Genomic DNA, 19,109 nt, shown 5'->3' with positions numbered 1-19,109 from the left:
TGAAACCTGAATGATTTTTCCCACAGAAATAATACAGCCTTGTTCACAAAACTTGAAAACTCAAATCCCCAGGGGAACACTGTAGGCCTAAAGGAAAAACAATATAAGGATGGAACAACTTCACACGGTGTCAAAGATTTATGGGGAGAGAAAAGGGGTTCTTAAGTAATTTCACATGCTTATGAAATATGTGTATGCTAAAATAAATGTCAGAACAGATGTCTTTAAAGTTCTATTAAATATTTAAGAAACAGATTATTCCTATTTTATTTAATCTATTCCAACACATAAAATGGAAACAAATATATATTTGTAGCTTATCAATTTATTCAGGATTTGTTTATTGTCTGTCTTCCCCACTTGCCTTTATGCACTACGAGGACAAATACCACTTCTGTCTCATTCACCATTACACCAAGCATAGTGCCCGGCCACAGTAGTGCTCAGTAACTCCTGCTGAATGAATGTTGCTGAATTCCAAGTTCTCGTATGAGATCAGCATAACACTGATACCAAAAACTGACAGAGAAAAGAGAAAAAAGAACCAGAAATGAAAGCATATTTAATTTTTGTTGATCCTTGTTTTTAGAGACAGGGTCTTGCTCTGAACAGCCCAGGTTGGAGTGAAGTGGCATGAACATTGCTCACTGCAGCCTCAAACTCCTGAGCCCAAAAGATCTTCCTGCCTCAGCCTCCCAAGTATCTGGGACTATAGGAATGTACCACCACACCTAGCTGATTATTTATGTTTTATCCATACATACCCAAATCCTAATTAAAATAGTAGTGAATTAAACTGCAAAATCCTGACTGTAGCAAACTTTTAGAAAAAGTGATTCAGTTTCCTTCAACACAAAAAAAGCAAGATGAAAAGAGAACCTACAGACTGAAAAAGATCTTAAGGAATACATCTCAAGCAATCACTAACTTACAGACCTTATTTGAGTCCCAATCCAAACACATGAGGAAAACACAATAAAAAAATTGAGAAAACATGAATATTTGATAATATTAAGGAATAAGTTCATTTTCTATAGGTAGGATAATGCTATTATAGTAATTTATGTGATCTTTCAGAGATATACAAAAATAACTTGACAGGTTAAATGATATGACTGGGATTTGCTCTAAAATAACTGGGCAGAGGGTATGTATATAAAACAAGATTGACAGTTATTGGGGCTGTATGGTGTTATGATACATACATATACGGGGACGGGGACACACACACACACACACACACACACACACACACACACACACACACACACACACGTTTCTGTCTACAGCTTCTGGCCCATAACTCCCATAGCCCTTGCTGGAGTCTTCTGTTATAATGCTAGGTATGTCAGGCCTCAGAAAACAGAATCTCTCAAATCTTTTCCCACCCTCCCTTCAACTGTCCTAAGGTAGAACTCTATCTCTCCCAATACCCCTTTCTCATTGTGAGTCTTAAGCCCCTCTCACAGGCAGGGCAGGGTGGCTCACTCCTACAATCCCAGCATTTTGGGAGGCTGAGGCGGGAGGATCACTTGAGGTCAGGAGTTTGAGACCAGCCTTACCAACATGGTAAAACCCCATCTCTACTAAAAATACAAAAATTAGCCGGGCGTGGTGGTGCATGCCTGTAATCCCAGCTACTCGGAGGTGGAGGTTGCAGTGACCCAAGATGGTGCCACTGCACTCCAGCTGGGCAACAGAGTGAAAGCGTGTCTCAAAAGAAAAAGACGGAGACTCCCACTCTGTACTCTGGGAGAAGGAATGCTAACATCATGAAGCTTCCATAAAAACTCAAGAGGACTGGATTTGGAGAGCTTCTGGCTAGCTGAACACCTGGACGGAGGTTCGTGGATGGTGACACCCCAGGGAGGATATGGAAAGTCAGTGCACCTTCCCCCCTACCTTGCCAGACAAATCTCTTCATCTGTATACTTTGCAATCGCCTTTAGAATAAACCAGTAAACATAAAAGAGTTTCTCTGAGTTCTGTGAAACACTCTGGCAAATTAAACCTAAAGAGAGGACCGAGGGAACCCTGACATGAGTGAAGCTGGTGGTCAGAAGCACTTGAGGCCCAGACTTGTGACTGATGAGTGCTAGGGGGCAATCTTGGAGACTGCGCATTCAACCAGTGGGATCTGACACTATCTCCAGGTAGACAGTGTCGGCATTGAACTGGAGAACACCCAACTGGTGGCAGCTGCTTGGTGTGTGGGGAAAACTGCCCACACATTTGGCCACAGAATTCTTTTTCTGTGTTGATAATTGCTGTGGTGGTGTGTGAGTAGAAAAAAATAAGAGTTTTTACAAAGCAGGATTAATCTACATTTTTGTTGTTGCTGTTGTTGTTGTTGCTGTTGTGACAGTCTCAGTCTGCCACCCAGGCTGGACTGCAGTGGCACGATCTCAGCTCACTGCAACCTCTGCCTCTGGGGTTCAAGTGATTCTCCTGCCTCAGTATCCCAAGTAGCTGGGATTATAGGCACACACCACCACACTCGTTAATTTTTGTATTTTTAGTAGAGTTGGGGTTTCACCATGTTGGCCAGACTGGTCTCGAACTTCCTGACTTCAGGTGATCTGGCCACCTCACCCTCCCAAAGTGCTAGGATTACAGGCATGAGTCATGCCCAGCCAAATCTACTTTTATGAGTTTGGAACTTTCTAAAATAAAGAACTAAAACAAGGCTGGGTGCCATGGCTCACACCTGTAATCCCAGCACTTTGGGAGGCCAAGGCTGGTGGATCACCTGAGGTCAGGAGTTCCAGACCAGCCTGACCAACATGGAGAAACCACGTCTCCACTAAAACTACAAAAAATTAGGCAGGCATGGTGGCGCATGCCTGTAATCCCAGCTACTCACTCGGGAGGCTGAGGCAGGAGAATCACTTGAACCCGGGAGGCGGAGATTGCGGTGAGCCAAGATCACGCCATCACACTCCAGCCTGGGCAACAAGAGCGAAACTCCATCTCAAAAAAAAATAAAATCACTTAAGCCTATATACAGTTTAACATTTTTATAAAGCTCACAATTAAGCAAAAATAAACAATATATTATTTAGGAATATATATCATGTGGTTTATAAAAGGAAGGAAATGATAAACCCAAAATTCGGGAGAACAGCTAACTCTGTGGAGTAGTAAAAGGATAGGATAGGACAGAAACAGACAAATAAATAAATAGTAATGTATTGGTAATGCTCTAGTTTTCAAGACAACTAATAAGCTTGCAAATGTTTATTATTATGCCTCATAACTTAGATGTTTTACATTCATATTTTTTCTGTATGTTAAACATCATACAATGAAAAATTCTAAAGCATATAGCTCTAAATGCTACAAATTCTGTTTAGCAAAAATTAAAAGTTTAGATCAGGTTGGCAAACTAAACATCTATCCATCCTAATCATAATCTCTTAAAAAATAAAACCGTAATAGCACTAACAAACCCCCTCCTAAAAGGGTGGCTCCTAAAAGTTATCAAGATACCACAAATGAAGTCTTTACAAAGGAATGAAGATCAGACTGACAGAGAAACAAGCCCTATTCTCTGGAGAAATGACAGATTCTAAGGCCAAGGCCAATCTGAAAGAGCTCTCAATGGCCAAAGATAAAACAACTTGAGCAACAAAATAAATCAATGTGGGACTTTAATCCAAAATATAAACTAAATACTCAAGTCCATACTGATTTCATATAACTGAGACAGGTACTTTACCTCAGGTATTTTTCCAAAAATCCACAAGCCCAGTCTAATTACGAGGAAAACAGCAGACAAAACCAAATTGAGGACCTGACCAGTTTTCCCCAAAGCTGTCAAATTACTGGGAGCGGGGGGAAGGACTAAGAAACTATCACAGACCAGAAGAAACTAAGAAAGTATAACAACTAAACACAATTTAGTTATCCTAGATTGGATCCTGAAATAGAAAAAAAAAAATTGTAGAAAACCTGGGTTGGGTGCAGTGGTTCACACCTGTAATCTCAGTACTTTGCAAGGCCGAGGCAGAAGGATCGGATCTCTTAAGCCCAGGAGTTCCAGACCAGCCTGGGCAACATGGTGAAACCCAGTCTCTACAAAAAAAAAAAAAAAAAAATCAGCCAGGCATGGTGGCACGTGCCTGTAGTCCCAGCTACTAGGGAGGCTGAGGCAGGAGGATCACCTGAGCCAGGGGTAGTCAAGGTTGCAGTAGGACATGATCATGCCACTGTACTCCAGCCTGGGGAGACACAATGAGACCCTGTCTCAAAAAAAGAGAGAGAAAAAAAAAAGAAGAAGAAAGAAAAACAGGGGAAATCTAAATACAGTCCAGAGTTTAGTTGATACTAACGTACCAAGGTAGGTTTTTCAGTTTTGACAAATGTATCATGGTAATGTAAGATGGTTAACATTAGGGAAAACTGAGTTAGGGATAGCCAGGAACTCTCTGTACTCTCTGTACTATCTCTACAAATGTTCTGTAAATCTAAAATTATTCCAAAATAGAAATAGTGTCTCAAAAAAATTAAAATTAAAAATAAATAATAGGCTGGGCGCGGTGGCTCATGCCTGTAATCCCAGCACTTTGGGAGGCCAAGGCGGGGGGATCACAAGGTCAGGGGTTCGAGACCATCCTGGCTAATACGGTGAAACCCCATCTCTACTAAAAATACAAAATATTAGCTGGGCGTGGTGGTGTGCCCCTGTAGTCCCAGCTACTCGGGAGGCTGAGGCAGGAGAACTGCTTGAACCCGGGAGGCAGAGGTTGCAGTGAGCCGAAATCGCATCACTGCACTCCAGCCTGCGCGACAGAGCGAGGCTCCGTCTCAAAAAAATAAATAAATAATAAAAAAGAGTCCAAGAACATGATGGTGGAATAGGAGGTCCAGGTTCTAGTCACTATCACAGAAATGTCAATTAGTAATTATCCACAGACAAGAACACCTTTGTGAAAATTCCAGAGCCTAGGGCTTAAGCACTCCCTTGGAGCACAAATACCAAAAGCCCCATTAGACGGGTAAGAGTGGCTTGACTTTTTGACTGCATCGCCCCTCACCAGGCCCACATGGGGCCAGAGAGTGATCCCCTGGGCCTATAGTTTCTGCAGTGGGAAAAAGAAAGCCCAAGGCAGACATTCAGCTTCCCCAACTTTCCCAGCTTTCCAGGGTGCTTTCCAGGAGATCCATGTCTGTCTTGCCTCATAGGGAAGAAATGGGAGGGCTAGACCACTGGAGTCAGCTAGGAACAAAGAAGGGGGTGGGGCTCACAGCAAACAGTATGCAAATCATGACAATGAGACCACATCCCTGCCAGTGGCCTCACCCAACCAGAGAGCCCAACCACCAGCTCTGCCCATCTGCGGCATGTCTATCCAACAAGCACAGTCAACATTCTGCCTGGCTTGGGTCCTGTGCCAGTGATCCAGTCTGACCTCAGCTGAGCATAGCCTATGGCCTCACCTAATAGTATAGCTGAAACTCCAACTCCACAGGACCAACCAGGCAACCTGCCTGCCCAACCAGGCAGCCCGGCCACAGAACCCGTCTAACCTTGGAGCAGGGCCAGCAGCCCCATCCAGGCAAAAAAATCAGCCAATGCCCCCATTCAACAGCTAAACTTAACATACAACCCCACCTGATTGCAGAATGCAGCCTATAGTCCTACCCATCTATGGTGCATACCCTGTAGCCTCACCTGACCGGGGAAATTCCAGAGTACAGCCTGCAGCCCTCCCAAGTCACAGAGCAGCCTGGCCTAAACATGGAGCCCAGCCAGCTGCCCCTCCTAACCTCAGAGCCCAGCCAACAGACCTGCACTGGCCTCAGACCCCAGAGAACAAGCCCCACCTAACCTCAGAGTATGGGCAGCTACCAAGTTCAACAAGAGATTCCAGCAGCACGCCCTGCTTGCCCACAGATACTACCAGCTGACCCATCCAGAACCCCAGGTTAGGCTGACTGGTGAAGGTCTTTCCTCACAGAAATGAATTGGTAAAGACTAAAAGAAGTGACTACTTCCTCAAATGCACAGAAACCAACACAAGGACAAAAAGATCATTAAGAATCAAGGAGGCCAAGTGTAGTGGCTCACGCCTGTAATCCTAGCACTTCAGGAGGCTGAGGCAGGTGGATCACCTGAGGTCAGGAGTTCAAGACAAGCCTGGCCAACATGGTGAAACCCCATCTCTACTAAAACTACAAAAATTAGCCAGGCATGGTAGCACATGCTTGTAACCCCAGCTACTGGGGAGGCTGAGGCAGGACAATCACTTGAACCCAGGAGGCAGAGGCTACAGTGAGCTGAGATCGTGCCACTGCACTCCAGCCTAGATGACAGAGCAAAAATCTGTCTCAAAAGAAAAAAAAAGAACCAAGGAAACATGATACCACAAAAGAAAACTAATAAAATGCCAAAAAACAACCCTAAAGAAATGGAGATCTATAGAACTGACTGACAAAGAATTCAGAATAATCCTCTTGGCCAGGTGCAGTGGCTCTCACTTGTAATCCCAGCACTTTGGGAGGCCAAGGCGGGCAGATTGCTTGAGCCCCGGCTGTTTGAGACTAGCACAACATAGTGAAACCCGTCTCTATAAAAGAAAAAAAAAATTTTAATAAAAATTTTTACAAAATAATAAATAAATAAATAATCCTATTAAAGAAGGTCCGTGAACTATAATAAAACACAAATAACTGGCCGGGCACAGTGGCTCACATCTGTAATTCCAGCACTTTGGGAGGCCAAGGCAAGCGGATCACAAGGTCAAGAGTTCAACGCCAGCCTGGCCAACATAGTGAAACCCCGTCTCTACTAAAAATACAAAAATTAGCCGGGTGTGGTGGCACACGCCTGTAGTCTCAGCTATTCGGGAGGCTGAGGCGGGAGAATCACTTGAACCCAGGAGGTGGAGGTTGCAGTGAGCCAAGATTGTGTCACTGCACTCCAGCCTGGGTTACAGAGTGAGACTCCATCTCAATTAAAAACACACACACACACACACACACACACACACACACACACAAATAACAATATTAGAAAGACAATACATGAACAAAATGAAAACAAAGAAACAAATAATAAAAAGCAAATCTTAGAGCGGAAGAATATAATGACTGAACCAAATAATTCAATAGAGAATTTCAACAGCAGACTCAATCAAGCTGAAGAATCAGTGAAGCTAGGCATGGTGGCTCACGCTTGTAATCCCGGTGCTTTGGGAGGCTGAGACAGGAGGATCACTTGAGGCCAAAAGTTCAGGATCAGCCAGGGCAACATAGTGAGACCGTGTCTATATTAAAAAAAATTATTTAGGCTGGGCGCCGTGGCCGTAATCCCAGCACTTTGGGAGGCCGAGTAGGGCAGATCACCTGAGGTCAGGAGTTCGAGACCAGCCTGGTCAACACAGCGAAACCCCATCTCTACTAAAAATACAAAAAATTAGCCGGGCGTGGTGATGCATACCTGTAATCCCAGCTACTCGGGAGGCTGAGGCAGGAGAATCGCTTGAACCCAGGAGGCAGAGGTTGCAGTGAGCCGAGATCACGCCATTGCACTCCAGCCTGGGCAATAAGAGTGAAATTCCGTCTCCAAAAAAAAAAAAAAATTGTTTTTAATTAGCCAAGCTTAGTGGCACACACCTGTGGTCCCAGCTACTCAAGAGGCTGAGGTAGGAGGATAAACTTCAGCCCGAAAGGTCGAGGCTGCAGTGAGCCATGACCACACCACTGCACTCCAGCCTAGGAGTCAGAGCAAGACCTGGTCTCAAATAAATAAATAAATAAATAAAAAGCCAGCAGCTTTTTATAGAAACTTGGCAAGCTAATTTTAAAAATCATATGGAGCCAGACATGGTAGCGTGTTTGTGTAGTTGCAGCTACTCAGGAGACTGAGGTAGGAGGATCACTTGAGCCCAAAAGTTGGAGGCCAGCCTAGGCAACATAGTGAGACTCTATCTCAAAAAAAAAAAAAAAAAAAAAAAAAAAAAAAAAAAAACCAAAAAATTTGTATAGAAATCCAAAGGACTGGCCGGACGTGGTGGCTCATGCCTGTAATCCCAGCACTTTGGGAAGCCGAGGCAGGTGGATCACCTGAGGTCAGGAGTTCGAGACCAGCCTGACCAACATGGAGAAACCCCGTCTCTACTAAAAATACAAAATTAGCCGGGCATAGTGGCACATGTCTGTAATCCCAGCTACTCGGGAGGCTGAGGCAGGAGAATCGCTTGAACCTGGGAGGCGGAGGTTGCGGTGAGCCGAGATCGCGCCATTGCACTCCAGCCTGGGCAACAAGAGTGAAACTCCGTCTCAGAAAAAAAAAAAAAAGAAAAATCCAAAGGCTCTACAGTCGTAACAACTTTGGGAAACTTTCTTTTCTGGTTTCAAAATTTATTATAAAGCTACAATTATCAAGATAGTGTGATACTGGCATAAAGATAGACAAACAGATCAATAGAATAGAACAGGTCCAAATATAGACATGGACAAAATATTTTAGAAAGGGTAATCTTTTCAACAAAAAGTGCTAAAATAGATATCTATGTGCAAACAAAAAAAATCTTCCATCCATATGACGTCATATATAATTAATTCAAAATGAATCATAGACAAAAAAGTCAAACCTGAAAGTATAAAACTTCAAGAAGAGAACATCTTTCTGACCTTAGATTAAGCAAAAATTCTTAGATATAACACCAAAAGCACAAACCATAAAGGAAAAACTAAAGGGGACTTCAATGAAATCAAAAACTTCTTATAAGACACTGTTAGAGAAAAAAAAAAAAACTTACCTGAATGTATGAAATACATTTAAAAAATCTCTGTTCTCAAATGACAAAAGAAAAAAATCCGTGTATGTGTAAGCACAGAAAAAAAGATAAAAACAATACACAGGGATGAATAAAGTGAGTTTGAGCAAGAATTGTCAGGGGTCAAGTCTCAGTTCTGCAACTTACTAGGTTACGTATCCCTTGTACAAGTTAACATTTGAGTTTTAATCAATCAAATGGGAATAACAGGCTGGTCCAATGGTAGTGGCTCATCAGAACTTATTCAAAGCAGTGTTACTAAAGTTGGTATACAACCCCCCACTGCTAAATTTGACTGGCTGAAAAAAGAAAAATAAAATAGAGATAATAGTAACTATCTCATAAAGTTATTGTAAGGATCAAATGAGATAATGCATACAAAGTGCTTAGAACAATCTGAACACATGGCATAATGTTTTCAATAAATGTGAGCTCCACAAATATTTTATATAAATATTCTAATAGTGGATATTTCCAATGGTGGCTTAAAGAAAATTTTTATTGGTCAGGTGCGGTGGCTCACGCCTATAATCCCAGCACTTTGGGAGGCCGAGGCAGGAGGATCACGAGGTCGGGAGATCGAGACCATCCTGGCTAAAACAGTGAAACCCCATCTCTACTAAAAATACAAAAAATTAGCCGGGCATGGTGGCAGGTGCCTGTGGTCCCAGCTGCTGAGGAGGCTGAGGCAGGAGAATGGCGTGAACCTGGGAGGCGGAGTTTACAGCGAGCCGAGATTGTGCCACTGCACTCCAGCCAGGGCAACAGAGCGAGACTCCATCTCAAAAAAAAAAAAAGAGAGAGAATTTTTCTTTTTATACATCTCTGTATTCTAACTTTTCAAAATAGCTATTACACATTCTTAGCAATATAATTTTTTAGCCCTCAAAATGAATACAAAATGAAACAAATAAACCTAACTTTACAGAAAATTAGTAAAATGACCAGAGAATATAATTATTTGAAGTGACTTTAGAACTCGGTATTCTAATTGTATACATCAGTAAAATATATTTGTAGTGTTATGACATATATTGGTTTTCATCCACTGTTCCTGGTTCATAATTCCCACAGCCCTAGTTACAGTCTTCTGATACAATATTGGGTGTGTTAGGTCTCAGGGGCAGGTCTCAGGAAACAAAACCTCTTCCTCTGCCCTACTTTCACCTGCCCCAAGAAAGGACTATAATCTTTCCCCACCTTTCTGATTGTGGGTCTTAACACCCTCCCCAGAGAGGGGACTGCCCTATACCCTGAGAGAAGGCATCCTGACATCATGAAGCTTCCACAAAAGCCCAAGAGGACTGGGTTCAGAGAACTTCTGGATAGCTGAACACCTGGAGGTTCCTGGATGGTGGTGCCCCAAGAAGGGTATAGAAGCTCCACACCTCTTCCCCCATACCTTGCTCTATGCATCCCTTCATCTATATCCTTTGTAAGATTCTTCAGAATAAACCAATAAATTTCAGTGTTTCCCTGAGTTCTGTGAGATGCTCCAGCAAATTAACCAAACCCAAAGAGGGGATCGTGGGAACACCAACATGAAGACAGTGGGTCATAAGATCCAGGGCCCCAGACATGCAACTGGTGTCCAGGGGTGTGCAGGCAGTCTTGAAGACTGAGCCCCCAACCTGAATTGGAGAACACCGAGCTGGTGTCCACTGCTTGGTGCAGAGGTGAAAAACCCCCACACTTTTGGTCACAGATGTGTTCTGTGTTGATGATTGTTGTGGTGGTGTGAGAGTAGAGGAAGAACGTGGTTTGAGAGCTTCCCCTACACAATATTTTTATTATTTTTATTTTTTTGAGACAGAGTCTCACTCTGTCACCCAGGCGGGAGCGCAGTGGCGTGATCTCAGCTCACTGCAACCTCCACCTCCTGGGTTCAAGCGATCCTCCTGCCTCAGCCCCCCTGAGTAACTGGGATTCTAGGTGCATACCACCACGCCTGGCTAATTTTTTGTATTTTTAGTAGAGAGATGGGGTTTTGCCACATTGGCCAAGCTGTTCTCAAACTCCTGACCTCAAGTGATCTGCCTGCCTCGCCTCCCAAAGTTCTGGGAATTACAGACGTGGGCCACTGCGCCTGGCCCTCCCTTACACAGTATTTTAAGAACATAAAGAATAGCAAAGATTTTAGATTGTACTTATCAGCTATAATAGCAGTATTACTATTTTAAAACCCTTTTTATATGAGTCCAATATAGAAAAATAAGTAATTATAGTTGTAAAGAACTAATATTTTTATATAAAAGAGGAAAGGCAAAATATTTAAAGTCCTATAATTCTAAAATCTAAATTATATTTCTTTGCAGGGGCTAAAAGTTAAACAAATAATAAATATCATTATGAACTTGTGATTTTAAAAAAATACATTAGCCAGGCTTGGTGGCTCATGCCTATAATCCCAGCACTTTGGGAAGCCAAGGTGGGAGGTATGCTCGAGGCCAGGAGTTTGAGACCAAACTGGGCAACATAGCAAGACCCCCATCCCTAAAGAAAATTGAAAAATAAAAAAAGAGTTCAAGGCTGAGAGAGATTGGTTTTAAAACTGGAAAGATGAACTAGAAGTGTAGATCTTTTTTTTTTTTTTTTTTTTTTGAGATGGAGTCTCATTCTATCCACCCAGGCTAGAGTGCAGTGGCGTGACCTCGGCTCACTGCAACCTCCACCTCCCGGGTTCAAGTGATTCTCCTGTCTCAGCCTCCTGAGTAGCTGGGATCACAGGCGTGCGCCACCATACCCGGCTAATTTTTGTATTTTCAGTAGAGACGGGGTTTCACCATGTTGGTCAGGCTGGTCTCACATTCCTGACCTCATGATCCACCCACCTCAGCCTCCCAAAGTGCTGGGATTACAGGCATGAGCCACCGCGCCTGGCCTGAACTTTAGATCTTTCAACTCACTGTCCACAGTTCTGCCATTACAATACAAGCTCTCATAGCAAAAGACACTATTTAAAAAGTTTATACAGGCCGGGGACCGTGGCTCATGCCTGTAATCCCAGTACTTTAGGAGGCCATGGAGGGACGATCACTTGAGGTCAGGAATTAGAGACTAACCTGGGCAACACAGCAAAACCCCATCACTAAAAAAAAAAATTTAATTAAAAAAATTTTTTTTAAATTTAAAAAATTAAAAAAAAAAATCCAAGGCTGAGAGAGGTTGGTTTTTAAACAGGAAAGCTGAACTAGGACTTTTTTTGTTCACAAATCCACTTTTACTTTTTAGTAGTTTAAATCCTTGAGGGGTACAACATCACGTGAATTCTGTGTCCAAACGGCCTCAGCAGGAAGATTCCTTTGGAATTTGGCATGTCTGTTTCCATGGGCGCAAATTATCTTTCCACAGATTACTCTGGTTTTGTTTGGTTTGCCACCAGGAGTCACTGTGTTGTTCTTTGCTTTGTATACATAAGCACAAATCTCTTGCCCAAACAGAATTCAGCTTCATCTCAGGCATAAACACCTTCGATTTAAAAACAGTTGTGTGCTCTCTTTGATTCTGGAGACCACACTTACAGCCAACAAAAAATGGCCTTGGACCACAGCCTTCCAGACATATTTGCCTTTTAGAAGTCCTATTCCCAGCAGGCCTCTAAAAGCTTCAAGATGGTGGAAAAAGTGAACTACAACTTTCGATCTTTCAACTCACTGTCCAGAGTTCTGCCATTACAATATCATCCCTCATGGCTAAAGACACTATTTTAAAGTTTACACAGGCCAGGCACAGTGGATCACACCCACAATCCTGGTGCTTTAGGAGGCCAAGGTGGGAAGACTGCTTGAGGCCAGAAGTTTCAGACCAGGGAACATAGCAAGACCCCATCTCTATAAATAAATAAATACAAACTCTCAAGCCCACACCAGAGCTACTGACTCAGAATCTACATTTTAATAATACATCCAAGTTATCCATACACACACTAAAACTTTGAGAATCACTGACCTACAACAGTGCTGTCCAGCAGAACTTTCTACACTGATGAAAATGTTTTATATCTCCACTGTCAATGTTGGAGACATATCAGACAGGACAGATACAGAATGTCTCAAATTAGAACTGCACCTAAACATAATTTCTTATACTACTAAATGAAATAAATCTCCATTACTCTAATATATATATGCTCTTCCACTAAATATAATGCCAGTAATATATCCAGAGCAGGCTGGGCACTGTGACTCACACCTGTAATTCCAACACTTTGGGAGGCCGAGGCAGGTGGATCACCTGAACTTAGGAGTTTGAGACCAGCCTGTGCAACATGATGAAACCCCATCTCTACAAAAAATACAAAAAAAAAAAAAAAAAGAGCCAGGCATGGTGGCATGAGCCTGCAGTCCCAGCTACTCGGGAGGCTGAGGTAGGAGAATCACCTGAACCCAGGAAGTCAAGGCTGCAGCAGTGAGCTGTGACTGCATCACTGCACTCCAGCCTGGGCAACAGAGCGAGACCCTGTCTCCAAAAAAAAAAAAAAAAAGAAAGAAAGAAAGGAAAAAAGATTCCCTATTAAATTACAAGAACTGCCAGGCATGGTGGCTCAAGTCTGTAATCCCAGCACTTTGGGAAGCTGAGGAAGGTGGATCCCCTGAGATCAGGAGTTCAAGACCAGCCTGGCCAACATGGTGAAACCCCATCTCCACTAAAAATAAAAAATTTAGCCAGGCATGGTGGCAAGGGCCTGTAATCCCAGCTACTCAGGAGGCTGAGGCAGGAGAATCGCTTGGACCCAGGAGGCAGAGGTTGCAGTGAGCCAAGACCACACCACTGCACTCCAGTCTGGGTGACAGAGTGGGACTCCACCCCAAAAAATAAATAAATTACAAGAACTAGCTAATATTTCTTCTTCAAGAAAACGGATAGGACACGACATAAACAATTAAAGACCTTCCGTGATTTTTGTTTAAGATTTTATTAACATTAAATTTTTTTAACTTTTAAGTTCAGGGGTACATGTGAAGGTTTGTTACATAGGTAAACTTGTGTCATGGGGGTTGTTGTACAGATTATTTCATCACCCAGGTATTAAGCCTGGTATCCATTAGTTATTTTTCCTGATCCTCTCCCTTCTATTTTTGCTAAAGTATTTTCAGAAAACAAAAGTTGTTAAGTTTGTTTCCTTTGGCTAGAATATCTCGGAAATATAATAAACCTTTGATGAAAGAATTAAATATGTCTGGCCAGGAGCAGTGGCTCACACCTGTAATCCCAGCACTTTGGGAGGCTGAGGCGGGTAGATCACCTGAGGTCAGGAGTTCAAGTCCAGCCAGACCAACACGGAGAAACACCGTCTCTACTAAAAATACAAAATTAATCGAGCATGGTGGAGCACGCCCGTAATCCCAGCTACTCGGGAGACTGAGGCAGGAGAACTGCTTGAACCCAAGAGGCAGAGGCTGCAGTAAGCCAAGATTGTACCATTGCACTCCAGCCTGGGCAACAAGAGCAAAACTCCGTCTCAAAAAATAATAATAATAATAATAATTTCCAAATTTGAAAGTTCACAAACTACCCCTAAAGTCTGCTCCAGCAGTGATTTTTAATTTGGCTGACCATTTGACCTTGAATTCCACCCATGCAGCCAGATCACTTCTCTCATGAGGTATCCTATAAGACATAATGATCGGCCGGGTGCGGTGGCTCATGCCTGTAATCCCAGCACTTTGGGAGGATGAGGCAGGTGGATCATTTGAGTTCAGGAGTTTGCGACCAGCCTAGCCAACATGGTGAAACCCCATTTCTACTAAAAATATAAAAATTAGCCAGGCATGGTGGCACGTGCCTGTAATCCCAGCTACTCGGGAGGCTGAGGTGAAAGAATCACTTGAACCCTGGAGGAGGAGGTTGCAATGAGTCAAGATCGCACCACTGCACTCCAAGCTAGGCGACACAGCAAGACTCTGTCTTTAAAAAAAAAAAAAAAAGATATAATGATCTACTAGAAGAAAGAAATGGGGAAGTTACTGCCCATATCCTTCCCCATGAAACTACTGAAGGAAATGTTAACACTCCCAAACTATAGAAAGATTTTAGGATTAGGAAGATTCCATTCTTACCAGTAAGGATGCAAACCCCACCTGGGACCAAGACCATGATGATGAGATGAAGCAAAAGACAGGCAAAGCCAGCCTAATCTTTTTTATTTTTTATTTTTTGGAGATGGAGTTTCACTCTTGTCGGCCAGGCTGGAGTGCAATGGTACGATCTCGGCTCACCGAAACCTCTGCCTCCCGGCTTCAAGCAATTCTCCTGCCTCAGCCTCCTGAGTAGCTGGGATTACAGGAATCCACCACCATGCCTGGCTAATTTTTCTATTTTTAGGAGAGACAGGGTTTCACCATGTTGGCCAGGCTGGTCTCGAACTCCTGACCTCAGGTGATCCACACGCCTCAGCCTCCCAAAGTGCTGGGATTACAGGCGTGAGCCAACGCACCCGGCCCAAGACAGACTAATCTTGAGTTTCCAATAGGTTACTAAAGGAGGCTGGAATAGGCCAGTGGTAGTAACAAACAACAGAAAAAGGCAGGAAGTTAAAGGTAGCTGAAAGCACCAGGCATGGTGGCTCACGTCTGTAATCCCAGCACTTGGGGAGGCCGAAGCAGGTGAATTACTTGAGGCCAGGCATTTAAGACCAACCTGGGTACCAGGGCAAGATCCCATCTCTTTAAAAAAAAAAAAAAAAAAAAAAAAGCTGAAGACTAAGTTTAGCATTCAAATTGCTTTACTTTGTTGCTCTCTTCTATTTACCCATCAAATCTGATGGTAACTAAAAATTTCCTGTTACACTTTTCTGTATTTCATGAAGGACACTATAAACTATGGTAGTTACATAAGTACGGATTCCCAATGATCTAAGAGTATGCCTTTCATAAATGTCAAAGGTATACTATTTGTATAAATAAACAGTATTTGTGTTGTATTTTTAATCTGGTGGTTGTAAACAGTATTTGTAGTGTATTTTTAATCTGGTGGTTGTTTTACATTTCTTTTTTTTTTTTTTTAGTGAACCCAAATTACTCAGATGTTTTATATTTCAGTGTGATCCTCGCCCAGATCAAATACTTGACTCCTTAGAAGAATAATTCCTAAAGTCAAAGTAATCACTAGTCTTCTCATTGAAAAAAAGAAAAAATGTTTTTTAGCAGCTTTAATACACAACATAGAAAAATCAATGCCACCAAGATGTATATATGTATTTATACATATACCTTAAGTCATAAGGGTTTAATGGTAGATAGGAGACACACAAGTCCAAGGAACTGGACAGTTTTGTTTTTTTTTTTAAAAAAAGCAAAAAACATTCTTCTAAGATGTTTCCATATCAACTCTTCCACAATCTACAATTATTCTTGATAAGATAGGAGACACACAAGTCCAAGGAACCGGACAGAGTTTAAAAAAAAAAGCAAAATACATTCCTCTGTTTCCATATCAGCTCTTCCACAATCCACAACTATTCTTGATAAAGCCCAACACTGTAAAAACTAGACATCAAAAAAAATTTGAATATATTTTAGTGAAAGTGCTAACAGCTTAGACTGAATGACACACTATCAATTGTATATAATACTGTCCACACAAAGAAAGGTCTCATTGTCAAATCACATTAACATTTAATAAGATGCACATCTCATTCACAAATCTGTTGGTGTCTCAGTTTGGACAATGTATGAAACCCACATGTAAGGCACAATCCAACCTCCTTTTAAAACCCTGTGGCCCTATAACTCCAAAGATAATAAGAAAGCAACTTCTAAGAAGTCTGCCTTTGTAATCAAGCAAATATTGGAAATAAATGTCAGATGAGATATACCACATTATAGATAGGTATACTACTGTATTTATTAAAACAACATGCCTGGCAGCAAAGAAGGATTTCCCAAATTTGATACAACAAGCACAAACCAGCCGGGCGCAGTGGCTCACGCCTGTAATCCCAGCACTTTGGGAGGCCCAGGCGGGTGGATCACCTGAGGTCAGGAGTTCAAGACCAGCCTGACCAATATGATGAAACCCTGTCTCTACTAAAAATACAGAAATTAGCTGGGCGTGGTGGCAGGCACCTGTAATCCCAGCTACTCGGGAGGCTGAGACAGGAGAATTGCTTGAACCCAGGAGGCGGAGGCTGCAGTGAGCCAAGATCACGCCATTGCACTCCCGCATGGGCAACAAGAGCGAAACTCCATCTCAAAAAATAAAAAATAAAAAATAAAAAAAAACACAAAACACAAACCATGAAAGACTGAAAAATTCAGTTCATTACAATTAGGAGCTTTTCTCACCAGAAGACTATGAAGAGATGAAAAGACAAGTCACAAATTGGGAAAGGATATTTGCAACCTATAAATTAACAAATAATTAGTATCCAGAATATATAAAGAACTCTTAAAAATAAATCAGAAAAAGAGAAAAGACCAAAAAAATAGGCAACGAAATTGAATATACACTTCGCAGAAGCACAAATGACCAACGAAAATACATGAAAAGATGCCCAGCTTCAGGAAATGCTGATAAAAAACACTATAGATACAATTTCAAACCCACCAGATTAGAAAAAAAAAATTAATTTAAAATCTGACAATATCAAGTGTTGAGGAGGAAGTGAAGCAGCCAAAACACACACTGCTGGCTCTTGACTCAGTAACCACAAGATTAACAATTACCATGAGCCAATTCAGTGACTCAAAACACTGGAAGTGTTTGGTAAGCATTAAGCAACTGATAATGACCAATCAAGCATTCTGAGAACACATGAGGATTACTGCCAAATACAAATTTTGGCCCTTAATGAACCGGATCCAATCTGACTCAGCAATATAAAAAAGAAACTTTCAGTCATTTATCCAGTTTATCCAGTTTATTTTGTGAAGTACAAAATAATCAGGTATTCATTTCCTCCTAGAATTCTGATGACATAATGTGACTAAAATTTTAATGAACTATTTATCATTCCAGTTACACTATTATTTCAATGAGAACAAGCAGTTCACAATGGTATTACTTTAAAACTAGTGCTTATACCTTATAGGAATTGGAATGGTCCTGTGACCACCTAAGAGGGGCAAAATGGCATAAAAGAATGCAGCATAGGCATTGAGGTTGGACAGATTTCAGTTCAAATTCAGTCTACCTAGTTGTAACCTTAGTTAAGTTACACAACCTCTGTGATCCTGTTTCCTCAATACATAAAAAGCACGCATAACACAACCTACCTACCTAATTCAAGTGTGAGAACTGAATGTGTTTGTTTGTTTGTTTTTCTTTTTTTGAGACAGAGATGCGTTCTGTCAGCCAGGCTGGAGTGCAGTGGCATGATCTAGGCTTACTGCCACCACCGCCTCCCAGGTTCAAGCAATTCTCCTGCCTCAGCCTCCTGAGTAGCTGGGATTACAGGCACCTGCCACCACGCCCAGCTAATTTTTGTCTTTTTAGTAGAGACGGGGTTTCACCGTGTTGGCCAGACTGGTCTTGAAATCCTGACCTCAGGTGATCCACCTGCCTGGGCCTCCCCAAGTGCCAGGATTACAGGCATGACCCACAGCACCCGCCCGAGATTATTTCTTTTGAGGTAGGATCTTGCTCTGTTGCCCAGGCTGGAGTGCAGGGGCATGATCTCAGCTCACTGCAGCCTCGACTTCCTGAGCTCAGGTGATCCTCCTACCTCAGCCTCTCGTGTACCTGGGACTACAGGCATGAACCACCAATCCCAGCTAATTTTTCTGTGACTTCTGTAGAGACAGGTCTCACTGTGTTGTCCAGGCTGGTCTTGAACTTCTGGGCTCAAGCAATCCGCCCGCCTGGGATTCCCAAACTGCTGGGACTACAGGCATGAGCCACTGTGTCTGGCCAAGAACTGAGATTATGTAAAGTGTTTTAACAGGGCCGAGTGCAGTGGCTCATGCCTGTAATCCCAGCACTTTGGGAGGCCGAGGCAGGCAGATCACCTGAGGTCCGAAGTTCGAGACCAGCCTGGTGAATAAGGTGAAACACCATCTCTACTAAAAATACAAAAATTAGCAGGCGTGGTGGCAGGCGCCTGTAATCCCAGCTACTAGGGAGGCTGACACAGGAGAATCGCTTGAACTCGGGAGGTAGAGGTTGCAGTGAGCCGAGATCACACCATTGCACTCCAGCCTGGGGAATAAGAGCGAGACTTCATCTCAAAAAAAAAAAAAAAAAAAAAAAAAGGATTGGCTGGGCGCGGTGGCGCACGCCTGTAATCCCAGCACTTTGGGAGGCCGAGGTGGGAGGATCACGAGGTCAAGAGATCAAGACCATCCTGGCCAACATGGTGAAACCTTGTCTCTACTAAAAATACAAAAA

General features: G+C 42.5%; 1 protein-coding gene, 1 long non-coding RNA gene and 1 pseudogene across 10 annotated transcripts in view, besides 2 other annotated features; all 3 read right to left on the bottom strand.

Moving 5' to 3' along the window:
• UBAP1 (ubiquitin associated protein 1) overlaps positions 1–19,109 on the bottom strand; it is a 73,519-nt gene that overhangs the window by 48,624 nt on the left and 5,786 nt on the right. The window contains exon 2 of one of the 9 annotated variants that reach the window (NM_001171204.3): positions 7,442–7,564. The exons of 6 other annotated variants lie outside the window; for them this stretch is intronic. The gene's annotated coding sequence lies outside the window, so the exon portion shown is untranslated. Of the gene's footprint in view, positions 1–364; positions 520–3,976; positions 3,997–7,441; positions 7,565–19,109 lie in introns of those variants that run through there. 2 more of the 9 variants (NM_001171203.3, XM_047423458.1) reach the window with 2 other exon arrangements.
• Positions 5,306–6,256: an enhancer, noted in NCBI's record as "H3K27ac-H3K4me1 hESC enhancer chr9:34197642-34198592 (GRCh37/hg19 assembly coordinates)". NCBI's record gives its function as "activates a minimal SCP1, AML or CMV promoter by ChIP-STARR-seq in primed H9 embryonic stem cells {active_cell/tissue: H9 hESC(primed)}" and the evidence as "EXISTENCE:reporter gene assay evidence [ECO:0000049][PMID:30033119]".
• Positions 10,171–10,220: an enhancer, noted in NCBI's record as "active region_28306". NCBI's record gives its function as "activates an Ori minimal core promoter by ATAC-STARR-seq in GM12878 lymphoblastoid cells {active_cell/tissue: GM12878}" and the evidence as "EXISTENCE:reporter gene assay evidence [ECO:0000049][PMID:35858748]".
• RPL35AP2 (ribosomal protein L35a pseudogene 2) lies at positions 11,991–12,407 on the bottom strand (annotated as a pseudogene).
• Positions 15,768–17,625, bottom strand: LOC114224 (uncharacterized). The gene has a single exon (XR_158845.6). It is a non-coding gene; the product is annotated as an uncharacterized LOC114224 (long non-coding RNA).

Source organism: Homo sapiens, chromosome 9 (genome assembly GCF_000001405.40).
Source record: "Homo sapiens chromosome 9, GRCh38.p14 Primary Assembly".
NCBI lineage: Eukaryota > Metazoa > Chordata > Mammalia > Primates > Hominidae > Homo > Homo sapiens.
This window is presented reverse-complemented; position numbering and strand designations above follow the sequence as displayed.